At 36.5% G+C, this 21968-nt stretch overlaps 1 protein-coding gene and 1 long non-coding RNA gene across 11 annotated transcripts in view, besides 4 other annotated features; one reads left to right on the top strand and one right to left on the bottom strand.

The window, feature by feature from the left end:
* The window catches only part of COL25A1 (collagen type XXV alpha 1 chain), a 493934-nt gene that overhangs the window by 95332 nt on the left and 376634 nt on the right, over positions 1 to 21968 (top strand). The gene's annotated exons all lie outside the window — the stretch shown is intronic.
* LOC124900754 (uncharacterized) lies at positions 1928 to 21457 on the bottom strand. Its single transcript, XR_007058223.1, has 4 exons — positions 21395 to 21457; positions 3698 to 3917; positions 2592 to 2693; positions 1928 to 2011 (listed from the first exon to the last, which is right to left on the bottom strand). It is a non-coding gene; the product is annotated as an uncharacterized LOC124900754 (long non-coding RNA).
* Positions 2812 to 2981: an enhancer, noted in NCBI's record as "experimental_71681 CRE fragment used in MPRA reporter constructs". NCBI's record gives its function as "activates a minimal promoter by MPRAs in K562 erythroleukemia cells, with activity observed for the introgressed 4:110125587 variant allele {active_cell/tissue: K562}" and the evidence as "EXISTENCE:reporter gene assay evidence [ECO:0000049][PMID:34662402]".
* Positions 8041 to 8210: an enhancer, noted in NCBI's record as "experimental_71659 CRE fragment used in MPRA reporter constructs". NCBI's record gives its function as "activates a minimal promoter by MPRAs in K562 erythroleukemia cells, with activity observed for the non-introgressed 4:110120358 variant allele {active_cell/tissue: K562}" and the evidence as "EXISTENCE:reporter gene assay evidence [ECO:0000049][PMID:34662402]".
* Positions 18834 to 19003: an enhancer, noted in NCBI's record as "experimental_71641 CRE fragment used in MPRA reporter constructs". NCBI's record gives its function as "activates a minimal promoter by MPRAs in K562 erythroleukemia cells, with activity observed for the non-introgressed 4:110109565 variant allele {active_cell/tissue: K562}" and the evidence as "EXISTENCE:reporter gene assay evidence [ECO:0000049][PMID:34662402]".
* Positions 20380 to 20907: an enhancer, noted in NCBI's record as "NANOG hESC enhancer chr4:110107576-110108103 (GRCh37/hg19 assembly coordinates)". NCBI's record gives its function as "activates a minimal SCP1, AML or CMV promoter by ChIP-STARR-seq in naive and primed H9 embryonic stem cells {active_cell/tissue: H9 hESC(naive and primed)}" and the evidence as "EXISTENCE:reporter gene assay evidence [ECO:0000049][PMID:30033119]".

Below are 21968 nucleotides of genomic sequence, written 5' to 3'. Positions count from 1 at the left end.
CCACATCACCCACAGCTAATTGATGATCTGATATGGGATGCTTTGACTCAGCTGTATCACATATACACACAGTGAGGTACAGAGGCAGCTGGCACACTCCTTATTTCTTTGTTTGGCAGCTTCCTAAAACAGCATGGGGTGTGCAGAAACATTTGGCTCTTCCCCTAAAAGCAAAGAAGTCTGTTAGTTAACCCCAGCACAAGGTAAATAGGAAGTTAGCCAGAGTCATTAAAGTGTTGGATATTAGGGTAAGGACTGTGATTTATGAGTCAGATTCATACAATTTTGGCTTTTTAATTTACAACCATAAATTCTTATTTCTAAATTATCTGCTGAAGCTATATACCTAAAGCAGATTTCTATACGTAATGAAGGAATGCCAACTAAAAGACGTTCATTTGGTTGAGTTGGAGGCCAAGCTCAGCTGACTGGCTGGGTCCTCAGAGGTCGCTGATGTATTACAGCAGACAGTAGACGTGAGGGAGTTGTCAGACTGCCACCAGGGCTTTGTTTTTCCCACTCATCCCCACCCTGGTTCTTGCCAAATCTGCTTTGCATTTGAAGTTGACTGAAATGGGTTTCACTGTTAACCTGTCAACTGAAACCTGTGATTTAGAGAGCTTTTTGTTCATTTCAGTTGTTGCAAGACATTGAAGTAAAAAATCTGGATTCTTTTAGAGCACTGAAGATGGCCAAATAGAGCAGCATCTGGACCTACCCCTAATTAATCGAAAAGTGTTGTCAGGTGCAAGAGATGAGATTTTTGTTAGAAAGGTGGTCCTTCAGTACCAAAAGTTTGTTGTGGGTAATGACCTCTCTAGGGCTGTTCAGCAAATCCCTGGAAAACATTATAAAGAATTATACCTTCTTGGATTTAAGGTGGATTTATTCTTCCTAAGAGCACAAAATGCTTTCATATATTGGTTATTTCATTTATTTTCATAACATCAGCACGCAATAGTTTGTGGCAGTTATAATTATCCCATTTTTATGGAGAGAGAAGATAGGGTGCTGGGGAAACCTGAGAGCCACAGAATGTTTATGTTTTATAGTGTTTTTCTCTCTGAATAGATAAAAGTACTTTATAAATATCTGAACCTGTCTTTAGTATATGAGAAAGCTATTTATTATGGGTAAGGTGTGTACAGTAGAAGGATATTAACTGTTTTATGCCATAAGATAACGTTAGAGAAAAGCCGTAAGTTGCTGTCTATTAATCTTATATATTAAGTGTGTTTTTGGTGAATTGCAAGGACTATGAATGAAAAAGATTTTTTTTTCTGAAAAATGAGTTAAAATAATCTTGTTCTTGGTCCCTGAAAACTGGGAATTTAGCTTGCCCAGGAGTATGAAACAGAACCAGATGTTGTTTTCCAGGGCAGAAAGCAGCCTGACGTGAACACTGGGGTCATGGAATCTGGGGGTTAGGTCAATCTTAAAGCATTGTTATTAAATTACATCAGAGACACTGTGAAGAAAAGTGATGTAAAATTATGGAAAGGGAATTGGACTCTTTGGAAAAAAGGTGTCTGGCAAATTTAGTATGTTGTCAAGAGCCCCTGAATTATATTTCAGGAAAGTGTTAGGTGAAACTTTATTAGATAGGATACAGATTTTTCTGAGGTAACGGATAGTCTAAAAATACAATGACAATCAAGATAGAAGTTTATATCCCCTCTTGTAAGTCTGGGTAAATGATCAGGGGTGGCCTGGAAGCTTGACAGTATCAGGAACCCAGGATCCTAATGTCTTCTGTATTTGATCTGAGGCTTTCGTTTTATTGTCTAAGATGACTGTTTTTATTTTCCAATCTGTGGGGACTCTGAAAGAAGCAGTGGGAAACCTGCTCTTTACTTTTCAGTGCACAAACCAGAAGTCCTATATGTCAATGTCTGTCCACAATCCGTTGGCCAAAATTAGTCCCGTGTCCGCATCCAGCTTCAGGGAGGCTGGGAAACGTAGTCTTTAGCTAGGCAGCCATATGCCCAGCTAAAATGTGAAGGGCTGATTACTGAAGCAAGCAAGAAAGAATGGATATTGAAAAACCAGCATTCTCCAGCACAGAAACATACTGTGGAAAATATTTAATCTATTTTAAGATATGTATCAACTCTATGATTGTTTTAGAGCTCAATGTTATTCAGCATGCTTTCTGGATAATATTGCTGATGAATGCATGTTCTCTAACAGATTTTCCATAATTCAGTGGAGACACATGATGTAGCTGAACCATTACGATAATGAATTATGTATTTCTTATAAGGGCAAAGATAAGTTCAACACTTTTTGCCATGCTCCTTAATATTTTATATTGGAACAATCACACAGTGGTAACACACACACTAAGATAGTAAAGTTTTGTGGAAGCATTGCGAATTTACTTATCTACTCTATAGTACAAAATCAAATTTATCAGCCATGGTAGAATCAGAACTGCCGTTTAGCTGCAAGACAGAGTAATGATAAAAATTCCCATTGAGAATTTTCCCAGAGTACTAAGAATAATTTTTGGGGTCCCGGGTGTGTGTTTTCCATTTTTTTGTCTTTGGTAGGTATTGTAACACCTTTAACAATAAATTTCTTTCAAATACCTTAAAAAATGTTTTCGTTTGCAGGATAGACAATATCAAATCTCTTCCTGCTTTCTGTTGTTGAAACAAAGTAGTCATGCTGTGTCTGTAAGCAGATTGTTTCTATAAAACAAAAGTTCCTTATGGTTTCTATTTCCTTAAATGGCATAATTGGTCATTTAATCTCAATGTAATATTTAAATTATTATCTGAATACACTATTGCTGGTGGTAGTTGTTTTTGTTTTGTTAATAACCATTACTGTATTTTGCTTTTCTGGCTGTAATAAAAGAGTGTGCCTATTATATAGGCCATTTTTTCCAAATTATTCCTAAGACATGGGCGGAAAAGAGCTTTCTGGTTGTGGCCTTTTTCTGATTCCTTCATACAACGTCTTTCAGAATTATTATCTCAAATTATAATGCGAAACTGATAACCTATATAAAAATGTCAAATTTCAAGTTGGAGTAATCCAGCCACTTTGGGATCCTTTAGGATATAATATTTTCCTTTGAAATTTTAAATGACATTAATATAGGTATATAGTTTTAAAACTCATGATGATTATGATAAAAGAGTGTTTTTCTACCACACCTTCCCTCCACCCTCAATTTCTGTTTTATAGAAGCAACAACTTGAAATCATTTAGCTGCTGTTTCTGTTATTTACCTTCCTATTTCTAATAATAAGCTTGCAGAACTACTTTTTTATTTTAAAAAGTGTGTATTATAAGTTTTCCATTGATAGCTGGCTTTTATAGATGAAGATTTTATTCTGTTATTCCTGCAGTTGCTTCACTCAAAACACAAGTGTATCTTCCCTGCCCTTTCAATCTAGCTGTAATCATAGAACAATATGACCCAACTGTGGCAAATTTCTATTTAATCATAATAAAATATTCACTGATGTTTATTGAACCACAAATAATTATTTGATTTTATTACAATTAAGTGGAAATTTGTCACAATTGGGCCATATTGTTCCATGATTAAATTTTTCCCTTGGAATTAAACATTGCTTTACTTTTATTTATTTTCTTACTTTTCTATGCACCCTTTACTATTTATTTCACCCTAAGATACTCTGCTAAAGCTATCAAATTCATCACTATGGTAAAATCAGACAACCTGTAGGATTCTTTTTGTTTGTTTTCTTGGTGGCATCCTGCGGGAGTTCTCAGTTCTCCCTCTGGACTGGTGGTCTCTGGCCTTAGAAATTGCTTTCCTGAAGCTTCCCCTCAGCATCATCCTGTGAATTCCTTTTGTTTCTCCTTCCTCCTTCCTGGGTCCCATTTCTTCTTCTTTGGGGGAGGCTCTGGATTTGGTGGACTCCATCAGCTCTTAATTTCTGAGAAAGGGCAGATGAGAGGTAAAGTTTTTGAGAACTCTCATTTCCAAAAATGTCTTTGTTTGGTTGACATATCTGATTTTTAGTCTAGTTAGTAAAGAATTGTACTTTGGAAATCATTCTAGTTTTAAAATTTGAAGGCATGGCTCGTCTTGTCTTCTGCTTTCCATTATTATAGTTGAGAATTCTGATGCCATCCTGATTATCCCTCATATGCATCCTGTTTTTCTATCTGTAATTTTGTGAAGCTTCCTTTGACTACAATTTTCTGAAATTTCAGTATGGTATGGTTTTGTGTGAGTCTTTATTTAGTCATGAAGGTGGGACCTGGGGCCAGGGACTTTTCCATCTACAACATCCTCTAGTTCTAGGACTTTTGGGGGAAGAAGGTTTTATTTCTTTGATTTTTTTTACACCCCTTTACTGCTATTATTCATTCTCATTCTCTCCTTCCTCCTGCTTCTCTCTTTCTCTCCCCTGGCTGCCTCTCCAACATATCCATATATCTGTACAGATGTAGATATCCCTCTCGCCACTTATCTATCTTTATAAGATATAGATGTCTATGTATCTACAAAAGTATTATTATCTCCATATAGCTAGATATCTCTATAGATATAGGTATACACACATATATAAAATATAGATATGTATCTGTAGATAGAATGATCAATTGATCGATAGATAATCTATTTTGTAAATATTTTTCCCAGTATGTGGCTTGTCCCTTCATTCTCTTAACAGTGTCTTTTGTGAATACTGACAAACTAATTTACATACTATTTTATGAAGTCCAAGTTTTTGGTTTTTTCTTTTATGGATAGTGCTTTCAGTTTTGTATCTAAAAATTCATGACCAAGTCCAAGATCACATGGATTTTCTCCTGTGTTATTTTCTAGGAGTTTTATAGTGTTGCATTTTGCATTCAGGTCAGTTATCTATTTTGAGTTAGGCTTTGTGAAAGGTGTAAGGTCTGTGTTTGGATTCATTTTTGTTTTTTTTTTTGCATATGGATATCCAGTCATGCCAGCACTATTTGTTGAAAAAACATTCTCCATTGAGTTGCCATTGCTCATTTGTCAATGATCAATTGGCTATATTTGTGTGGGCCCGTTTCTAGGCTATTTTCCTTTGGCCCATTTGTCTGTTCTTTTGCCTGTACTACATTGTCTTGATAACTCTGGCTTTATAGTAAGTTTTGAAGTCGGGTAGCATCAGTCCTCTGATTTTGTTCTTCATTATTGTGTTGACTATTCTGGGTCTTTGGCCCTTTCATATAAACTTCAGATTTAGTTTGTCAGTATTCACAAAATAACTTGCTGGGAAGTTGATCGGGATTGCATTGAACCTATAAATCAAGTTGGGAAGAACTGACTTCTTAAGGATATTGAGTTTTCTGTTCAGGAGCATGAAATATCTCTCCATTTATTTGGTTCTTTGATGTCTTTCACCAGTTTGGTAGCTTCTCTGATGCAGACTTTGTACATATTTTATTAGATTTGTATCTTTCTTTTAAATTTGTGGTAACATAAGTGGTTTTTATTTTTAATTTCAAATTCTAATTGTTCATTGCTGGTATACAAGAAAGCTGTTGACTTTGCATTTTAACTTTATATCCTGCAACCTTGCCATAATTGCTTATTAGTTCCAGGAGTTTTTGTTGATTTTTCAGATTTTCTATGTTAACAATTATATAATCTGTGGAAAAGACAGTTGTAAGTTTTCCTTCCCAGTCTATATGCCTCTTATATCCTTTCCTTGTCTTATTGTATTAGTTAGGACTTCCAGTGATATTGAATAGAAGTGGTGGGAAGGGACATTCTTGCCTTGCTCCTGAGTTTAGAGAAAGAGCTTCTTAATTTCTCACCATTAAGTGTGATGTTAATAGTTTGTTGTTTGTAGGTGTTTTTTCTCTGGTTGAGAAAGTTACCCTCTATTCTTAGTTTGCTGTGTGTTTTTATAATGAATAGGTGTTGGATTTTGTCAAATATTGTTTCTGCATCTATTTATATGACTGTATTGTTTTTCTTTCTTAGCCTGTTGTGTGGTGGATTTCATTAATTGATTTTTAAATGTCAAATTGGTCTTTTATACCTGGCATAAATCCCACTTGGTTGTGGAGTATAATTCTTTTAATATATTATTGGATTTGATTTTCTATTAAACTCTATTCTTTATCATAAATTACTGGACCAAGTGCATACCAACAGAAAAGATAGCCTTCTTCATATTTTCATAGCAGTCTTGTGTTAAGTTAGTACTGAACAGAGATAGGATTTGGGAACTGATTGAATGTGGTTAGTGAGGAAGATAAGATTATTGAAGATGACATTGATGTATTGAGACTTGTTGAGAATATCAATGAAGAAAGGACAGGAGGGAAATAAATATTCAAAAATATAAGTTGATTTTTGTGGTTCTAGTGATATGGGTAGGAGATATATATATCAAGTAACCTAATACTCAGGAAACAAATTTAGGATAGAGGGTTTTGGGAATCATGTATACATGACAGTGAGGGCTGAAGCTATACAAGTGAATGAGATTATTGGGGAGAAATGAAAAAGAGATGAAAGATCTGAAAAAGACCTTGAGGCATACTTACACATAGAGAAATAAGAACTAACAAAGGAGACTTAGAAGATTCATGTTAGGAGAGGCCGGGTGCAGTGGCTCACGCCTGTAATCCCAGCACTTTGGGAGGCCAAGGTGGGCAGATCACTTGAGCTCAAGAGTTGGAGACCAGCCTGCCCAACCTGGCGAAACCGCATCTCTACTAAAAATACAAAAAATCAGCAGGGCATGGTGGTGCACACATGCAGTCCCAGCTAGGCTGAGGCAGGAGAATCACTTGAACCCAGGAGGCGGAGGTTGCAGAGAACCAAAATTGTGCCATTGCATTCCAGCCTGGGCGACCGAGAGAGACTGTCTCAAAAAAACCCCACAAAAGATACGTTAGGAGAGAACCAAAATGATACCATATCAGAAATAAAAGAAGGAAAAATTGAAAAAGCAAAGAGCCATGGATTTGGTGATTCAAAATTCTTTGATAAAATTGCCAGAATGCATGAGGTAAAATGGAAGTGGAGCAATGATTGTAGACTATGCTTTCAGAAATGCTGGCAGTGAAAAGAAGTTAACTCCTAGGCATGGAAAGACTGAAGGAAGTGTCTCACCAGCAGTGAGGCTTGAGCACATCTGATTGTTGTGTGAAAGGAGCTGCTGGAGAAAGACTTCGACGATGGAAGATGGAAAGTGAATAATGGAAGGAAGTTACCATTTCATATATTGCTCCTGAAAATAAGCCAACAATGTGTGATTGGTTACTTGATGATTTAGCTGCCTCTTACAAAGCTTTATACTTTAATGTAGAAGGTGTGTGTCAGTTAGTTTAAGCTAGGTTACTCTGTGATAACCCACAGTCCTGAAATCTCAGCAGTTTAAAATAACTAAGGTGTATTTCTTGCTGACAGTCCATGTATATTATGTAATAGGTCAGCTGGTGCTTTTGCTGCAGTTTATTCTTACTCTAGTACCCAGGCTAGGAGAGCAGGCTTCTTCTTGAGCATTTCCAGTCACCCTGGCAGAGGACAAGAGTCATGGTAAATTACACACTACCTTTTAATGCTTCCAATCCCAAGTGACTTCGTTGACCAAATGAAGTCCCATGACCATGCTGGCTTCCAAGGGCTAGGGAAATACAATCCTAACCCATGCTAGGAAGGAGAGCTAACCATAGTGTTTGTAAATATCTCTGATGGCAACTATAAATATATACTTATTTGGATTACTATATTCATGTATTGTTTTAAAAATCTTTGTATTCATTTCTATAAAAAGGCATTAGTTTTTTTTTTCTGGAAAATAATACTATATCATAACTTTGCTTCTCAGGGGCAAATAAGATTAAATATAGATCTCATTTGTATTTACAGTGCCGTTTTCAGAAATGCAATTCCAATTTTGACTGGGCACGGTGGCTCATGCCTATAATCCCAACACTTGCAAAGGCCAAGGCAGGCAGATCCCTTGAGCCCAGAGTACGAAACCAACTCGTGCAACATGGCAAAATCCTGTCTCTAGAAAAAGAAAAACAAAAGAAATGTAATTCCAATTCTGTACCAGAAGTACACATCGTGGTGATAAAGACATGACAGGGATCTATTAGATTTTGCCAATTATCACTCTAAAATTAAAGTCAGAAATAATGAAATGTGTTAATAAGTAAAATTATAAAACATTTTTCTTTGAGTTGACTAAAGATCCTTTGCATTCTTTAAAAATACTAGGTAATTCTTATAAAAAAAATGTCAAGTGCTTTAAGGAGGAAATAGAAAGTGAAGAAAAGATCTGAACTTGGCTGCACCCATCAAATCTCAAACTAACAGTTTATCTCCTTCTACCTGTGCACCTCCATGTTAAAATATTCCCTGCTATCCCAATAGGGTCTTATTTAGATTCAGTAACCAATTGCAATTTGTAAATGCTGTACAGGGAAGTGTTTAGTGTTCAGAGGAAGAGCTGTACTGTATTATCCTGGCTTCAAGCACAAGACTAATCTCATGAATCTGAGATTCTTCACAAATGTACATATTAGAAGTCTTCAGGAAAGCATCCCAGACATTTGTAGCATTATTAAAGATTTAAATTTTAAACCATTGTAAGTGTGGGCATAACAGAAGCAGCAATTTTATGGATTTTGAAATATTTTTCTCATCACAGCTGAAACAGATTTTTCATTAACACTTTGCTGTGTCTGTTCAGAAGGGAGGCTCTAGAGCTAGCATAGAATGCAATCAGGGTGTTATTGCTGTTGTGTGACTTCCATTTCCTTGATGTCCTCTACAGACTTTTCAAGAGGCTTTCTCTAGGATTTGATTGTTCAATGAGTTTTACCTGGTTATCAGTAAATTTAAGGGAGTAAAAGGAGTCTTTCTCTACAGTATTAATAAAGTTCCTTTGGAACACTTAAAAAGAGTTGAAATCAGATGTTGAGAAGCCTGCCAGAGAGATAAAGTGGAGTGTGTTCTGAACATCGGTTTTCTCTTGATTAATGCATAGCATTAATAGCTACATATCAGTGTGTGTGTGTGTGTGTGTGTGTGTGTGTGTGTGAATGAATATGCAGAGTCTGATGTGGTTAATAAGGTGACTTTACTGTTCAGGGAGCTAAGAAAAGATGAATTATTTCTAAAGAGGGCCCTCCTGGCCTGTCTTGTGTTGGGTTAACAAGTCCACGAAAGAAGGAATCATTGGCCAGAGCCACACGCTCATCTTTGAGACGACCGGGGTAAGATATAATGAAAAAAGTTCAAAGTAAAAGCAAACAATTGATATAAAAGTACAAGAAAAAATTATTTTTAAGACATGAATAATAAAAAAAAATCTTGCTGTTACAAAGAAGCAGAGCTTGTTTGATATATGTTTTGATGAATGAGAAAATGTGTTGGGTGAATGTAATATTGACAACATAGTAAAGTTGCATGTATATTATTCATCTTAGTTTACACTAGCATGCATTCCACTGGTACTTGTTAGTTACTTAATTTTATTGAATATAAAATGTTTTGAGAGGATGAATAACTTATTCATCTATTGAATCAGTCACCGTCCATCTGTAATAGTCAGGTATACATACATGCATATTGTCAAGTATTGAGTCTTACAAATTATTAGTTGATTTCAAAGACTCTGGAGTAAGGTGTTGGCTTGGTATGTTAAGTGAAATAGGGTTTAGAAACAGCCTGTATAATGTTAGTGCTATGAAAATAAGTTACAGGCTTTTAAATTTATATGATTCCCAATGAGAGCATGCAAATTTTAATGTGAAATTTAAAAAAGATTGTCCTGTGACTCTCTCTCTCTATTATTTATATATGTATAATATTATATATAAATATTATATAATATATATTTATATATAATATATAATATATATTATATATAATATTTATATATAATATATATAATATATAATATTTATATATAATATATAATATATATTTTATATATAATAGAGAGATTATATATTATATATATTATATATTTTTATATATAATATATATATAATATATATATATACTTGAGACAGGGTCTTTCTCTGTTGCCCAGGCTGAAGTGCAGTGGTGTGATCATAGCTCACTGCACCTTTGGCCTCCTGGGCTCAAATGATCCTCCTGCCTCAGCCTTCTGAGTAGCTGGGATTAGAGGCATGCACCGCCACACCTGGCTAATTCTTTTTATTTTTTATTTTTAGTAGAGATGAGGCCTTGCTATGTTCCTCAGGCAGGTCTCAAGCTCCTGAGCTCAAGTGATCTTGCCACCTTAGCCTCCCAAAATGCTGGGATTACAGGTGTGAGCCACTGCAACTGGCCCTGTCCTGTGACTTTACATATTTACTGTTGAACATATGGTTTGATAAATATATGTTTGTGGAATATATACCTGGTAAACAGATTCTAAATGGACCATGAGTAACAAGAAATAGCAATACTGTTTGTCTGAAAGTCTTTGAATTTTAACATTACTTGATAATTGTGTTAAAGACTAGCCTCTCTAAAGTAATTCTGATACCTTTCAGTATTTGCACATTGATAATCAAAATGTCTCTGCAGGTGATTGATTTTTCTGTGTTGCTCAGGAGCACTGTAGCTTTCTGCTAAATCCACTACAGACATAGTCTGGGAGTGTAACATATGTATGATGAAGTACAGTCTCTGTTCTTACTTCTGAACACACAGAAGAATGTTTTGAAATGGCTTCTTTTTACACTGAGCTGCACTAAATTTTAGCTGGACAAATGAAAAATAAAACCTTTCTTCGAAAAGATTTGAAGTGGAGAATGCTGTCAGATTGTTGTATGGAATTCTGGTAGAGATATAGTTGAGGATACATGATTTATATCTGTGCATACAGCTATATTAGAGTAAATGCATCTAACATATACTCTCTATGTAAACATATATGTTTACAAACATTTATATATACATATATACACATATATACACACATTCACATATGCATGTTATAATGCATACGATATTTTTATATTTATTCTCTCATACACTATAAACTATGTGGAAAACTTTCTCCTTTTTGTTTAGATACCAAACTTTAAATGAGCATCCAAACTGTGCACAAATCTGTAAATGTTACTTTAGACTTAAAGAGGAAAGGAAGGCTGTCTGATTGCATTTCCTTTCAACACTGCAATGGTGATTGCCTGAGGTCTCGTCTCCCCGTAATGGATGTACATTATCTTTATTTGGCTCATCCCAGCCACTTGTGTACAGCGCACAGAGAACTTTGCATTAGGCATGGAGCATGACTCCAAGACCACTACACTAGCAAAGTACAACATTTACTCTTTGGTCAATTACCTTCTTCGCTTCTGTTGCTATTTCAGGGGCAGGACAAAGGGTAACACAGGGCTCTGTAAATATGAAATTAGAAAGAATAGCTGGAAGTCCCTATACTGGGAGCCAAGTATACTTACCACATTCAATTCCATCATAGAATACAGGAAAATGAAAAACATATGGGTTGACTTGTTGAGTTGATTTTTGTTCTGTACTCTATTCTTGTTATGGATTTGTTTCCAGAATCAAACATTTTGACTGCTTCTTGGTGGATGCATGTGGGTTTGAAAATATCACAGCATGTGGGACCCAGTAAAACATGAATTTTGTTTTCCTTGGCTTCTGTATGTCATGATCTGTTCAATATGACAGTCTGGGAAAGAGTACATTTTAGTAAGGTCTTAGGGCTGAGTTGTGGACTTTACTTCGGTGAGTCTAGTAATGAGAAGTTGACTCATGTTCAACTTGGTTCTCCCATTTGTACAATTCATATTATTGGGTTTTATAGTTTCTTACATTTTTGAAATTAGAACTTCTAATTATATGTCCAGGCACATCCTACTACAGTGTTTTACAACATGTGAAGTGCCTATTCACGTCTATTAAATGAACAGAACATTAAGATCTATTAAGATAAGTCGATATAAAGTTGTATCCAGTCAATTGTTGCTATAATAATGCAACATAACAAGCAACCACAGTATTTCAATGAAATAAAAATCATTTATGAAGCTCATGTGTCTGTGGGTCAGCTGGAGGTCAGCAGATCTAGATTGGGCTCATCTACGGCAACTGGCTAGGGCTACTGTGCTCAATGTGCTTCTCTTCATCCTCCTGGGACCAGTGGGCTAGGCCTGGCTGTGGTAGAAATGTAAGAAGGCAAGACAGTCACACATGTGCACATCAATTGTTTTTGTCTATTTTAATATTAATTTTTAAAAATTTTTGTGGGTACCTAGGAGGTGTATATATTTATGGGGTACATGAGATGTTTTGATACAGGCATGAATTTGAAATAAGCACATCATAAACAATGGAGTATCTATCCCCTCAAGCACTTATCCGTTGAGTTGTAAATAATCCAATTACTTTATTTTAAAATGTACAGTTGTTATTATTGACTATAGCCACCCTGTTGTGCTATCAAAACACATCAATGTTTTGATGGGAGGGTGTCACATTATACCTAAATGTTAGCCAAAGCATGTCACATGGATCAATCTGAAGTCAAGGAGCAGAGAAATATTCTTTCTCTTTACTAGGAGGAATTGCACAGTCACATGGTATAAAGCGCATGGATACTGGTAGTGGTGAAGAACGGGGGCCATTAATACAATCTACCACGAGATTATAACTTATTTTCATATTCTTCCTTTTGATGAGAACAAAGTATATATCTAGAATGGACTGATGGAATCAAAGAAGCAGTTTACAAAGTTACCTATCCTAACCTATTGCCCGATTTGGTATATAATTTCCTAATTATATATCTTTCTCCTCACTCCTTCTATATACTCCATGGGGTAAGGATGACATCTGCTTTATTCATCAGGGTGTACCAAGATCTAGAATAGTTCTCGGCATGGAAGCTAAGCAAATATTTTTGCAATGAATTAGTGAATTTTATCTAACACTAGGCTTCTCCCAAAATCAATTGAGATAACAGGCTAATAGATTTGTAAAGTTTTTCTGGGCACTTATGATATACATGACACTATGATTAACACTGTGTGGAATATGACATCGTAGAAGGAGTAACCTCTGACCTGAAAAGGAGGAGATAAAATATACCTGCAAATATTCATTTTTTACATTAGCCTTTGCCACCACAATCCTCTCTTTACAGTTCATGAAAATGTCCAGTAGGATAAGGAGTCCTGGGTTTATTGTTATCAAATCCATTCCTTCTTGCCCAAATATTTGAGATCTTGTCATTAAAGAGTCTAAGTTAGACCTCCCAAAAATGCTTTAACAAGTTCGCTTGCTCATGTTAGTGCTTAAAACAAATTGCTTGTTTCACACAGTCTATTTTTTAAATAAAGAGAATGGTATTAGTCAAAGACCTTGCTCATCAATCAATACCTTTATCCCTTAACTCTTTCTTCTCTCCCTTTTCAGTGGTTTATTCCTCTAGATATCATAAAGGCTCAAGTTGATTATGCAGTATCCTAAGGTTTTGGCCTATGACTTCCTGTTGGGAGTATAGCAGGGCTGGTTCTACAAGTTCTGAGTAAGAACCTGGTAGAAGACGTCTTTTCCTGATTTTTGGCAATGTTGTGTATTTAGTGACTCTTGGAGCTCATCTGTGTTACTCAGGAGCAACAGGGGACTCCTACTCAGCATCCTGTCACCACAAAGGCAATGAAATATTAGGGGTCTCTGACCGAAGTTGGTGCAGCAGGAGAACAAACTAAAAGAAGAGGTGGTGATGAAATCACCTCTGTATTTTGCTGCCATAAAACCAGATGGTTTTTGTGGTTATTGACCATTCCTTTCTCAGTCTCTGTCTCTTCACTTTGCCTGCAAGCTTTAGGTGTTCCTCCAAGTGTGTCTTCACATTTTTATTCTTATTCCTCATTATCTTCCTGAATAACCTTGCCTATTCCTATAGACAAGGAATTCCTCATCTTCAGCCTCTATCAAGATGACCGCAAAATTTAGCTTATTCCTGAAGTATTCCCACACTAACAATTACTTAATTTACATCTTTATATGGATTGGATGTCTTGTCAGAACTCCAACTTAAAATTTTTCAAATTGAATTTTTTTTTTTCTTAAACCAGCTTCTTCTAGTTGGCTGAATTGCTACTGTTTATGACATTTCCTGGTTGCTTGAATTGAAATCTTGTTAACTTTTACTCTTTCTAATTTTTCTTTCTCTGGTTGTAGCCGATTGCTTTGAATTAATCCTCTTCTAAATTGCTTACATCTGTCCATTCCTGTATTACAGAATCTCCATTCCTGCCCTTACTAGTTTGCAAGGGCTGCCATAACAAAGTATTACACAACGATATAGAAATGTATTTTCTCACCAGTCTGGAGGCTAGAAGTCCAAGATCAGGATGTCAGCAGGGTTGGTTTCTTCTGATATCTTTTTCGTTGGCTTGCGGATGGCCATGCTCTCTCTGTGTCTTCACATGAGCCTCCTTCTGTATGTGTCTGTGTCCACCTTCCCTTTTCTTTTTTTTTTTTAATTTTGAGACAGAGTCTCGCTCTGTTGCCCAGGTTGGAGTGCAGTGGCATGATCTCAGCTCCCTGCAAGCTCTGGATCCCAGGTTCATGCCATTCTCCTGCCTCAGCCTTCTGAGTAGCTGGTACTACAGGTGCCCCCGACCACACCTGGCTAATTTTTTTGTAATTTTAATAGAGACAGGGTTTCACCGTGTTAGCCAGGATGGTCTCGATCTCCTGACCTCGTGATCTGCCGCCTCGACCTCCCAAAGTGCTGGGATTATAGGCGCGAGCCACTGCGCCAGGCCCACCTTCTCTTTTCTTAAAAGGACACCACTCCAGTTGGATTAAAGCCCACCCTCATGACATCACTTTAACTTAATTACCTTTTTAAAGGCCTTATCTTTAAAAACTGACATTTTGAGGTACTGAGGGTTAGAACTTCAACATACGAGTTGGGGAGGGGCACAACTCAGCCTATAACACTGCCTGTTCCCGCTGATAACTGTAGTCAGTTCATCACTTTTATCTAGACTGTTGCAGCCCCCCACTCCCAATTCTCTGCCTTTTTTCTTTCACCACTTTACTACACACAATTACTGGATTAATCTCTTTAATGCCGAGATCTTTTTTCCTTAGTGACACCTTAATCACTCTTAGCTTAACATATATGGTCATCCATTACTGGGTTGCCTCTGCCTTTCCAGGATTGGCTGCCACTGCTCCTCCACATACCCTGTATTCTAGCCAAATGGAATCACTGCTGTGTCCCAAGCAGATTCTTTATTTCTCTTGGCTGTTGCTCTCTATTTCTAATGCTACCTGCCCTTCAAGACTCAGCTCAAATGGCTATTTAACTTAGGAAGATCTCTCTGACACTTCTTGTTGGAATTAATTTCCCTTTGACCACTATTCCTGTTGCACTTAATTTTATTTCTTTTAGAGAAGTTGCCACATTTTACTTTGATTACAGTAATTTAGATGGCTCTTATCTCTGGTATCAGTGTGTAAATTCCTCTAGCATAGAGATTGAATCTTGTGTTTCTCCACAGTGCTTTCATACACTTTGTAAAATAGAAACTCACATTTATGAGGTACTTAGATGCCTTTTCTGTGCTGTCTTACTTAGAGATTCAATAATTTGTGACATAAATTTTAAAAAACAGAGTATTGCTATATATATAAGTGCTTCTCACAGTTCTTATCACTATCAGCATTCAATAAAGGATTTCAACTATAATCACTATTTTCGGGGCAATAAATATTGGGTCTATTAACCTAAAATGTATAGCTCCTCTTAAGGCCGGATGCACTCCTTATGGAAAACAGGAGAGTCCTCAAAGCTGATGGTGGTTGGCCGAGGTGAAAGGCTTTCAGGGAACGTGGCTGGAAACAGTGGGCTGCTAAGCCCTCAATCTTTTGAGCAGCTGCCAAGCTCCCTGTGTTTCACCCTCTCTTGTGGGCGACAAGTACCAAATCTGTATGGCACACAAGGGTATGAAAATGAGTTTGGGGTTCCTGGCCTCAGCTGCTTGAATTTGTCACCCTGGTCAAATAGCACAAATTCCCTCCTCTCTTGTGCATTGTCCTTCTTGATTTCCCACAAGAACGTATTTTTCCTAACCTGACAGGCAAATACATAATTTATTTCATCACTGAATTTACTGCGAAACTAATTGTTTTCCCAATGTGTGGAACCAGTGTAAACAAAACCAAGAAGCATGGTTTGTGGCTTATTTAAAATCCTGCTTTCTGTGTACTATTCTAGGAAGCTGTTTGCTTCGGAATAGTGATCTGGTATGTATTAGCAACCTTGCAGGAAAATGCTGAAGCAATTTGCCATCTTCCCTTAAAAGTAACATGACTATAGACCAGAAGAGTGATAGGCTTTATGCCACAGATCTAAAATAATTTCAGACCTCATAAAGTAAAGCCATTCTCAAAGTCTTATTTTAGATGATCATTTTCCCTCCTTATGTGAAACAGCAGGTGAAAAGATGCCACTCTGTACTTCTGAATGTCAGTTTTGATGAGTGTCCCCAAGTTTGCTAGTTAGCTATAAAATCCACAGGCCTATATAGAGAGGAGATATGGATTATGATATAATAATGAAATTGCAAGCTTTAGAATATTTAGCCTCTTCTGTGTAACTGATCAGTTCTTATTGCATCCATCCACTGCATATTTTCTTCAAGAAGAAATTACATCAGTGATCAGGCAGTTTCAGGCCTGTAAAAACTTCATTACATAAAATGTTTCCATTATATCCATTCATACTTTCTCTTAGATGCTGACCAACCTACTGTCTTATTTTACAACCTCAATCTCTCACCTGCTCCTGCCAAAGTTGCATTGTTTACGTTCCAGAAAGAGGCAATGATCCCCACAATGGGATTGCATAGGAGTGTGGATATATGTTTGCCACCTATTTGTCTTTCCTCCCTTTCACCCTCTCCTTCCCTCCCTTCTTCCCTCCTTCCTTCCTCAATCTGAATGTTTTGTAAATATTTTCCTTATTCTTGTGATTAAAATATTTGTCAATATGTTTCTGGGCATTGGTCTCTTAAATTTTGCTTAAAATGTGATGAGCCCATCTCATTTGTATATCCATGATTTTTTTCAGTCTAGGAAAGTTATTCTTTGATTATGTCTTCTATTATTGTTTTCATTCCAATTACTTTGGAATAAATACCAAAATAATAGGCTGGCTCTGCATTCTTTGGTCTACAAACATATTATCTTCTCTCATTTATTTTTCATCTGCTTGATTGGTTCTGCATTTTTAGAGGACATATCATACTTTTCTTTCATATCACTGATTATATTTTCTTAAACATATATTTTACTCTTTATTGCTTCTCCTCATTTATTTCTATCTCGGCTTTGTTAGTTATTTTAAAACATAAAATTGTAAATTAATATTTGGAAACATACCACAAATGAAAGGAAAGGCATAGGACAAATATTTGCTGGGGAAAAAATCCCACCAATAGTAAAAGTCGTTAAACTTAATGTAAAAAAGCTCTTTCAATTAAAAAGAATATCAGTGGCTTAAGAGGCAAAAATGGCAGAGACAATTACAAGTTATTCAGAGAAGACAAAAAAATAGATAAATACAGGAAAAGTGCTTGACCTAATTAGTAAAATTTTTAAATAAACATTAATACTTTGAAATATGGAGTATTAAGATAAAAAGTAGATACAGTGCTGAGGTGGACTTTGTGAAATGGATAATCACAAATATTGCTGATACGAGCACAAACTTCAACAAACGTTCTTGAAACCCACTTGTTGATATGAGTGAAAAATCTTTTTTTTTTTTTTTTTTTTTTTGAGATGGAGTCTCTCTCTGTCACCCAGCCTGGAGTGCAGTGGCGTGATCTCGGCTCACTACATGCTCTGCCTCCTGGGTTCATGCCATTCTCCTGCCTCAGCCTACCGAGTAGCTGGGATTACAGGTGCATGCCAGCACACTTAGCTAATTTTTGTGTTTTTAGTAGAGACAGGGTTTCACCATGTTGGCCAGGCTGGTCTCGAACTCCTGACCTCAAGTGATCAACCTGTCTTGGGCTCCCAAAGTGCTGGAATTACAGGTGACAGCCACCATGCCCACCCAGCCAGAAAAATCTTAAATAGGAGAAAATTCATTGACACATCAATCTTATTTGTGGGAATATATCTTAAAGAAATAATCAAAGATGTTATGAAAATTGTAAGCACAAAGGTACCCAGTATGATTTAAAATTGGAAAATATAAAAACCTAAGTACCCAACAGTAAGAGAATTATACATGATAGAATACACGATGAAATATTATCCATCTTTTTAAAAATCCTGTTTTCAAAGAAAATGTAATGGTTTGAAGAAAACATTCATTTTAGTGTTAATTGAAAAAATAATTTAAAAAACTGTATGATGTTTATTAACTAAATTACTTCCCCTGCCCCCTACCCCCACCGACACACACAGAATCTTCACATATTTAACATTATTACTATTTACTTTATCCCATGGTCTTTTAATCATACTCTGTTTTCTTCTTCTGGATTCCCTTTTCATGAAAGGCCTGCTGTTTTGCATTCTATGGAGGATTTCCATGGCAGATAATGTTTAGATGTTTCCTCATTCTTCTGATTGACGGTCTCCTTACTTTGTTTGTAGTACTCTTTTCCTTTTACACACTTGATTTTTCTTTACTCAATCTTGAGATAAGAGATAGATCTATAGATGATGATTGCCAGTGGCTTGCCGTTGTCCCCATTCTTGGGACCCCTTTGGTACGATTCCATTCTCAAAGCTACAGTTTCCTGGAAGTTTGACACATGTATCTCTTAGCCCAGTTTTTCACATCTAATAGGCTTTTATCCAGTGTAGCTTAGCTGGAGTGAAATGGTGTCTTCTCTTGTGTTTGATTCCCCCACCCCACGTTTCTCTGATACTCTGAATATGAAATCATGAAAAAATGCAAGGTGGAGTGCGTTGCTTTCTGAAAGCTTCCTGGGTCTACTCTCAGTTACAGGATCCAGAGCACCACCACGTGTTCCCAGCCTTCTCTTCCCAAACTTGTTGTCCAGTTGTTTCCTTCTAGCTCAGTCTCCTTGGAAGGAGAGTTAGTGAGGAAAGAACTGGATAGGGCATGAGGAGCATCCAAGAGAGGGGTGGCTGACCAGTTGTATATTTGTTGTAGTCCCTGTATGTATGAATCAAAAAGAGATGGTAGGGGAGGAGCATCGGAACATCGGCTCTATAGTCCCACTTTAGAGTTGACATTGCAATTATGATCTCTTATTGTGTTTTTCGATTAGTTTCATTGGCCTTGTAATTAGTGGGAAATTCTTCCATGTTCTTGTCACGGGTTTCCCTTACTCTCACTTTTCATTATTGTGACTTATCTCCTTTTGGAGGGTGCCTTCATAGGTGTTTTTTCAAGAAGTTGGAAAAGCTTGCTTGCTTTAGGGGCTGCTTAACAATATGTAATTTTAAGTAGGAAGAATGAGGAAAGGGTTTTTATTTTAATTTAATTTAATTTTATTTTTCCCTTAAACCATTTTTCTAAGGTTGATGTACTTTCATTGCTATAGTATGAGAGAAGACATCACATCCTTATACCTTGGGCAAGGGGAAAGCTGATTTTAGCAAAATTACCACATTTCTCCATTGCAGCCTGCATTATCACATTATAACACTACAATCAAATGAAGCCACCAATCACAGAGGACTGAGAAAAAAATAATTTTTCAAAACTGTCTATTAGCTTCATTTTGAAGCTACAATATGCTACGTAAGTATGAATTAATAATACCAAGTTCTGTAGCTTTTATAATGTACCAGCTACTGTTTTTAGCATTTTGCATTTATTAACTAATTTAATTCTCGTGCCAACCCTATGAGGCAATCTTACAAATGAGGAAACTGAAGCAGAGGGCAGTCAAATAACTTGCCATAGGTTTTATAGGTAAGTGTCAGCTAGGATTTGCAATCAGGCAGTGTGGCTCCATTATCTATGTTTTTAATCATGTTAGACTAGCAAAGGCCAAATGACTGAACATCCATCTTAAAATGCTTAATGAATTATTTCTGAATCTACTTAATTTAAATACACGTAAAGAAACCTGGAGAAGTCTTTGAGAAGAAGATGGAAAAGTTAATTATGTGTGTGTGTGTGTGTGTGTGTGTGTGTAGAGAGCAAGAGAATACACACACACAAAACACGACTCTGTGTCACTATTAAAAAAAGGTATAATCGCATGACAATAATTTCTGTAGATTCTCCCTTCTTTCAAGTATTAATATTTTGAAAATAATTTAAATCATTTGCCTTCTTTTATAGAAAAATAATAACAATGATTACCCCAAATCATACCCCTAAGGGTTGTTCCCTGTAACAATGATCAAATTACATTAGCTCGTTATTTATTTTCTCATACCACTTGCTATAGACCATCAATAGTTTGAATTTGTGAGTTAGATGAATACAGTTTTTAGTCCAGTTTTCGGTCACAGAAGAGAGCAAAGCATTTGCTGATGTCGAATGCATGACCTTGGACCTCCTCAGAAACATTCTCTAATCAAATGAACTCCTGGGAGCAGATTATTTACATCTGGAAGGCAAACATTATGTAAATGTTTATTCTTCTCACATTTGTTTAGAGGGACTCAGAATTATCCCCAGGTGGGGAAATCTACATTTTATTGTCTCTTTTTGTAGTGATCCTGTCCCATTTGTCAGGCTATGAAAGGGGACCACTTGAAAGGCAATCGCAGAAGGGCTTCCAATGTCTTCAGTGACCTTTTTGGATTTTCAAGAATTCCTGAAACTGCTAGAACATTCTTAGATTCTCGAGATGCTTTAAAAAAAAGTTGTGTTGGGATGCTTTTATAGGAAGCATACAATAATGTAATTGATGAGATCACAAGCAAAATTAACTTTAAAGCTAGAGATCTCTTTTCTGAAACATTACTGTCATTTATATAATTTTTCTTCTAATTTGTTTACATTAAAAATCCAGAGAATACAAATATCTGAGAAAAAGAGAAAAATGGAAAAATATATGCAAAAAAAGATGAGAAAGAAAGATTAGAAGAAGTTTTGTTTTCATGCAGATAGGATATTAGAGTGTTAGAATTGAGATCTCTCAATTTACCAAGAAGAGAGTCGACCAAGAATTGGAGTCGTTTCTCTAAAGCACAGCAGTCAGCACGTGGTCCATGGGAAGGAGATTTCCACGTGCTTCTCTTTCATCTCATTCATTCCCAGCTGGAAGGTCGGAAGAATGACAAAAGGTCCTGGCAAGAGAGATGCCTCATTGCCATTCTTTTCTCATATATTTGGTAGGTTTTAGCAAATGATAGAAAGATTTTAAATTAGTTTGCCCACGCTGCCACAACGGAATACTTATTTATGTATTATGACTGGGTGGCTTAAACAACAGAAATTTATTTTCTCACAGTTCTGGAGGCTGGAAGTCGTCCAGATCTAGGTCCTGTGGGGTCTCTGAGGAGGCCTGTCTTCCTGGCTTACAGATGTCTGGCTTCTTGCTGTGTGCTCTGGTGATGGAGAGAGGGAGAGAGAGGAAGAAAGGCAGAGAGGGAGATGGAGGAGGAAGTGGGACAGGGAAAGGGAGAGGGAGAGAGAGCACACTCTTATAAGGACACTAATCCTGTTAGATCAGGGCCACACCCTTATGACCTCATTTAACCATAATTATTGCCTTAGAAGCCCTATCTCCAAATACAGCCACACTGGGGGTTAGGGATTTAGCATTTGAATGGGGAAGGCCCCAATATTCCATCCTTAACAGACTCGTAGTACCTTCTAATTTTAAAGAGGATTGATAGTGCTATAGAAATTCTTTCCAAAAAATAGACAGGAAGGTTTGAATAGCAGAATAAATTTAGCTTAGGAATCAGACAGATCTGAATTTGAACCTGTGGCTCATCTACTGACTGATTATCCATAGAGAAGTTATTTACTCTTCCTGAGTCTTAGTTTTCTCCTTTGTACCATGAGGACAGTAATGCT

Source organism: Homo sapiens, chromosome 4 (assembly GCF_000001405.40).
Source record: "Homo sapiens chromosome 4, GRCh38.p14 Primary Assembly".
In the NCBI taxonomy this organism is placed as follows: Eukaryota; Metazoa; Chordata; class Mammalia; order Primates; family Hominidae; genus Homo; species Homo sapiens.
The sequence above is the reverse complement of the archived record's forward strand: the minus strand, read 5'-3'. Positions and strand labels throughout refer to the sequence as shown.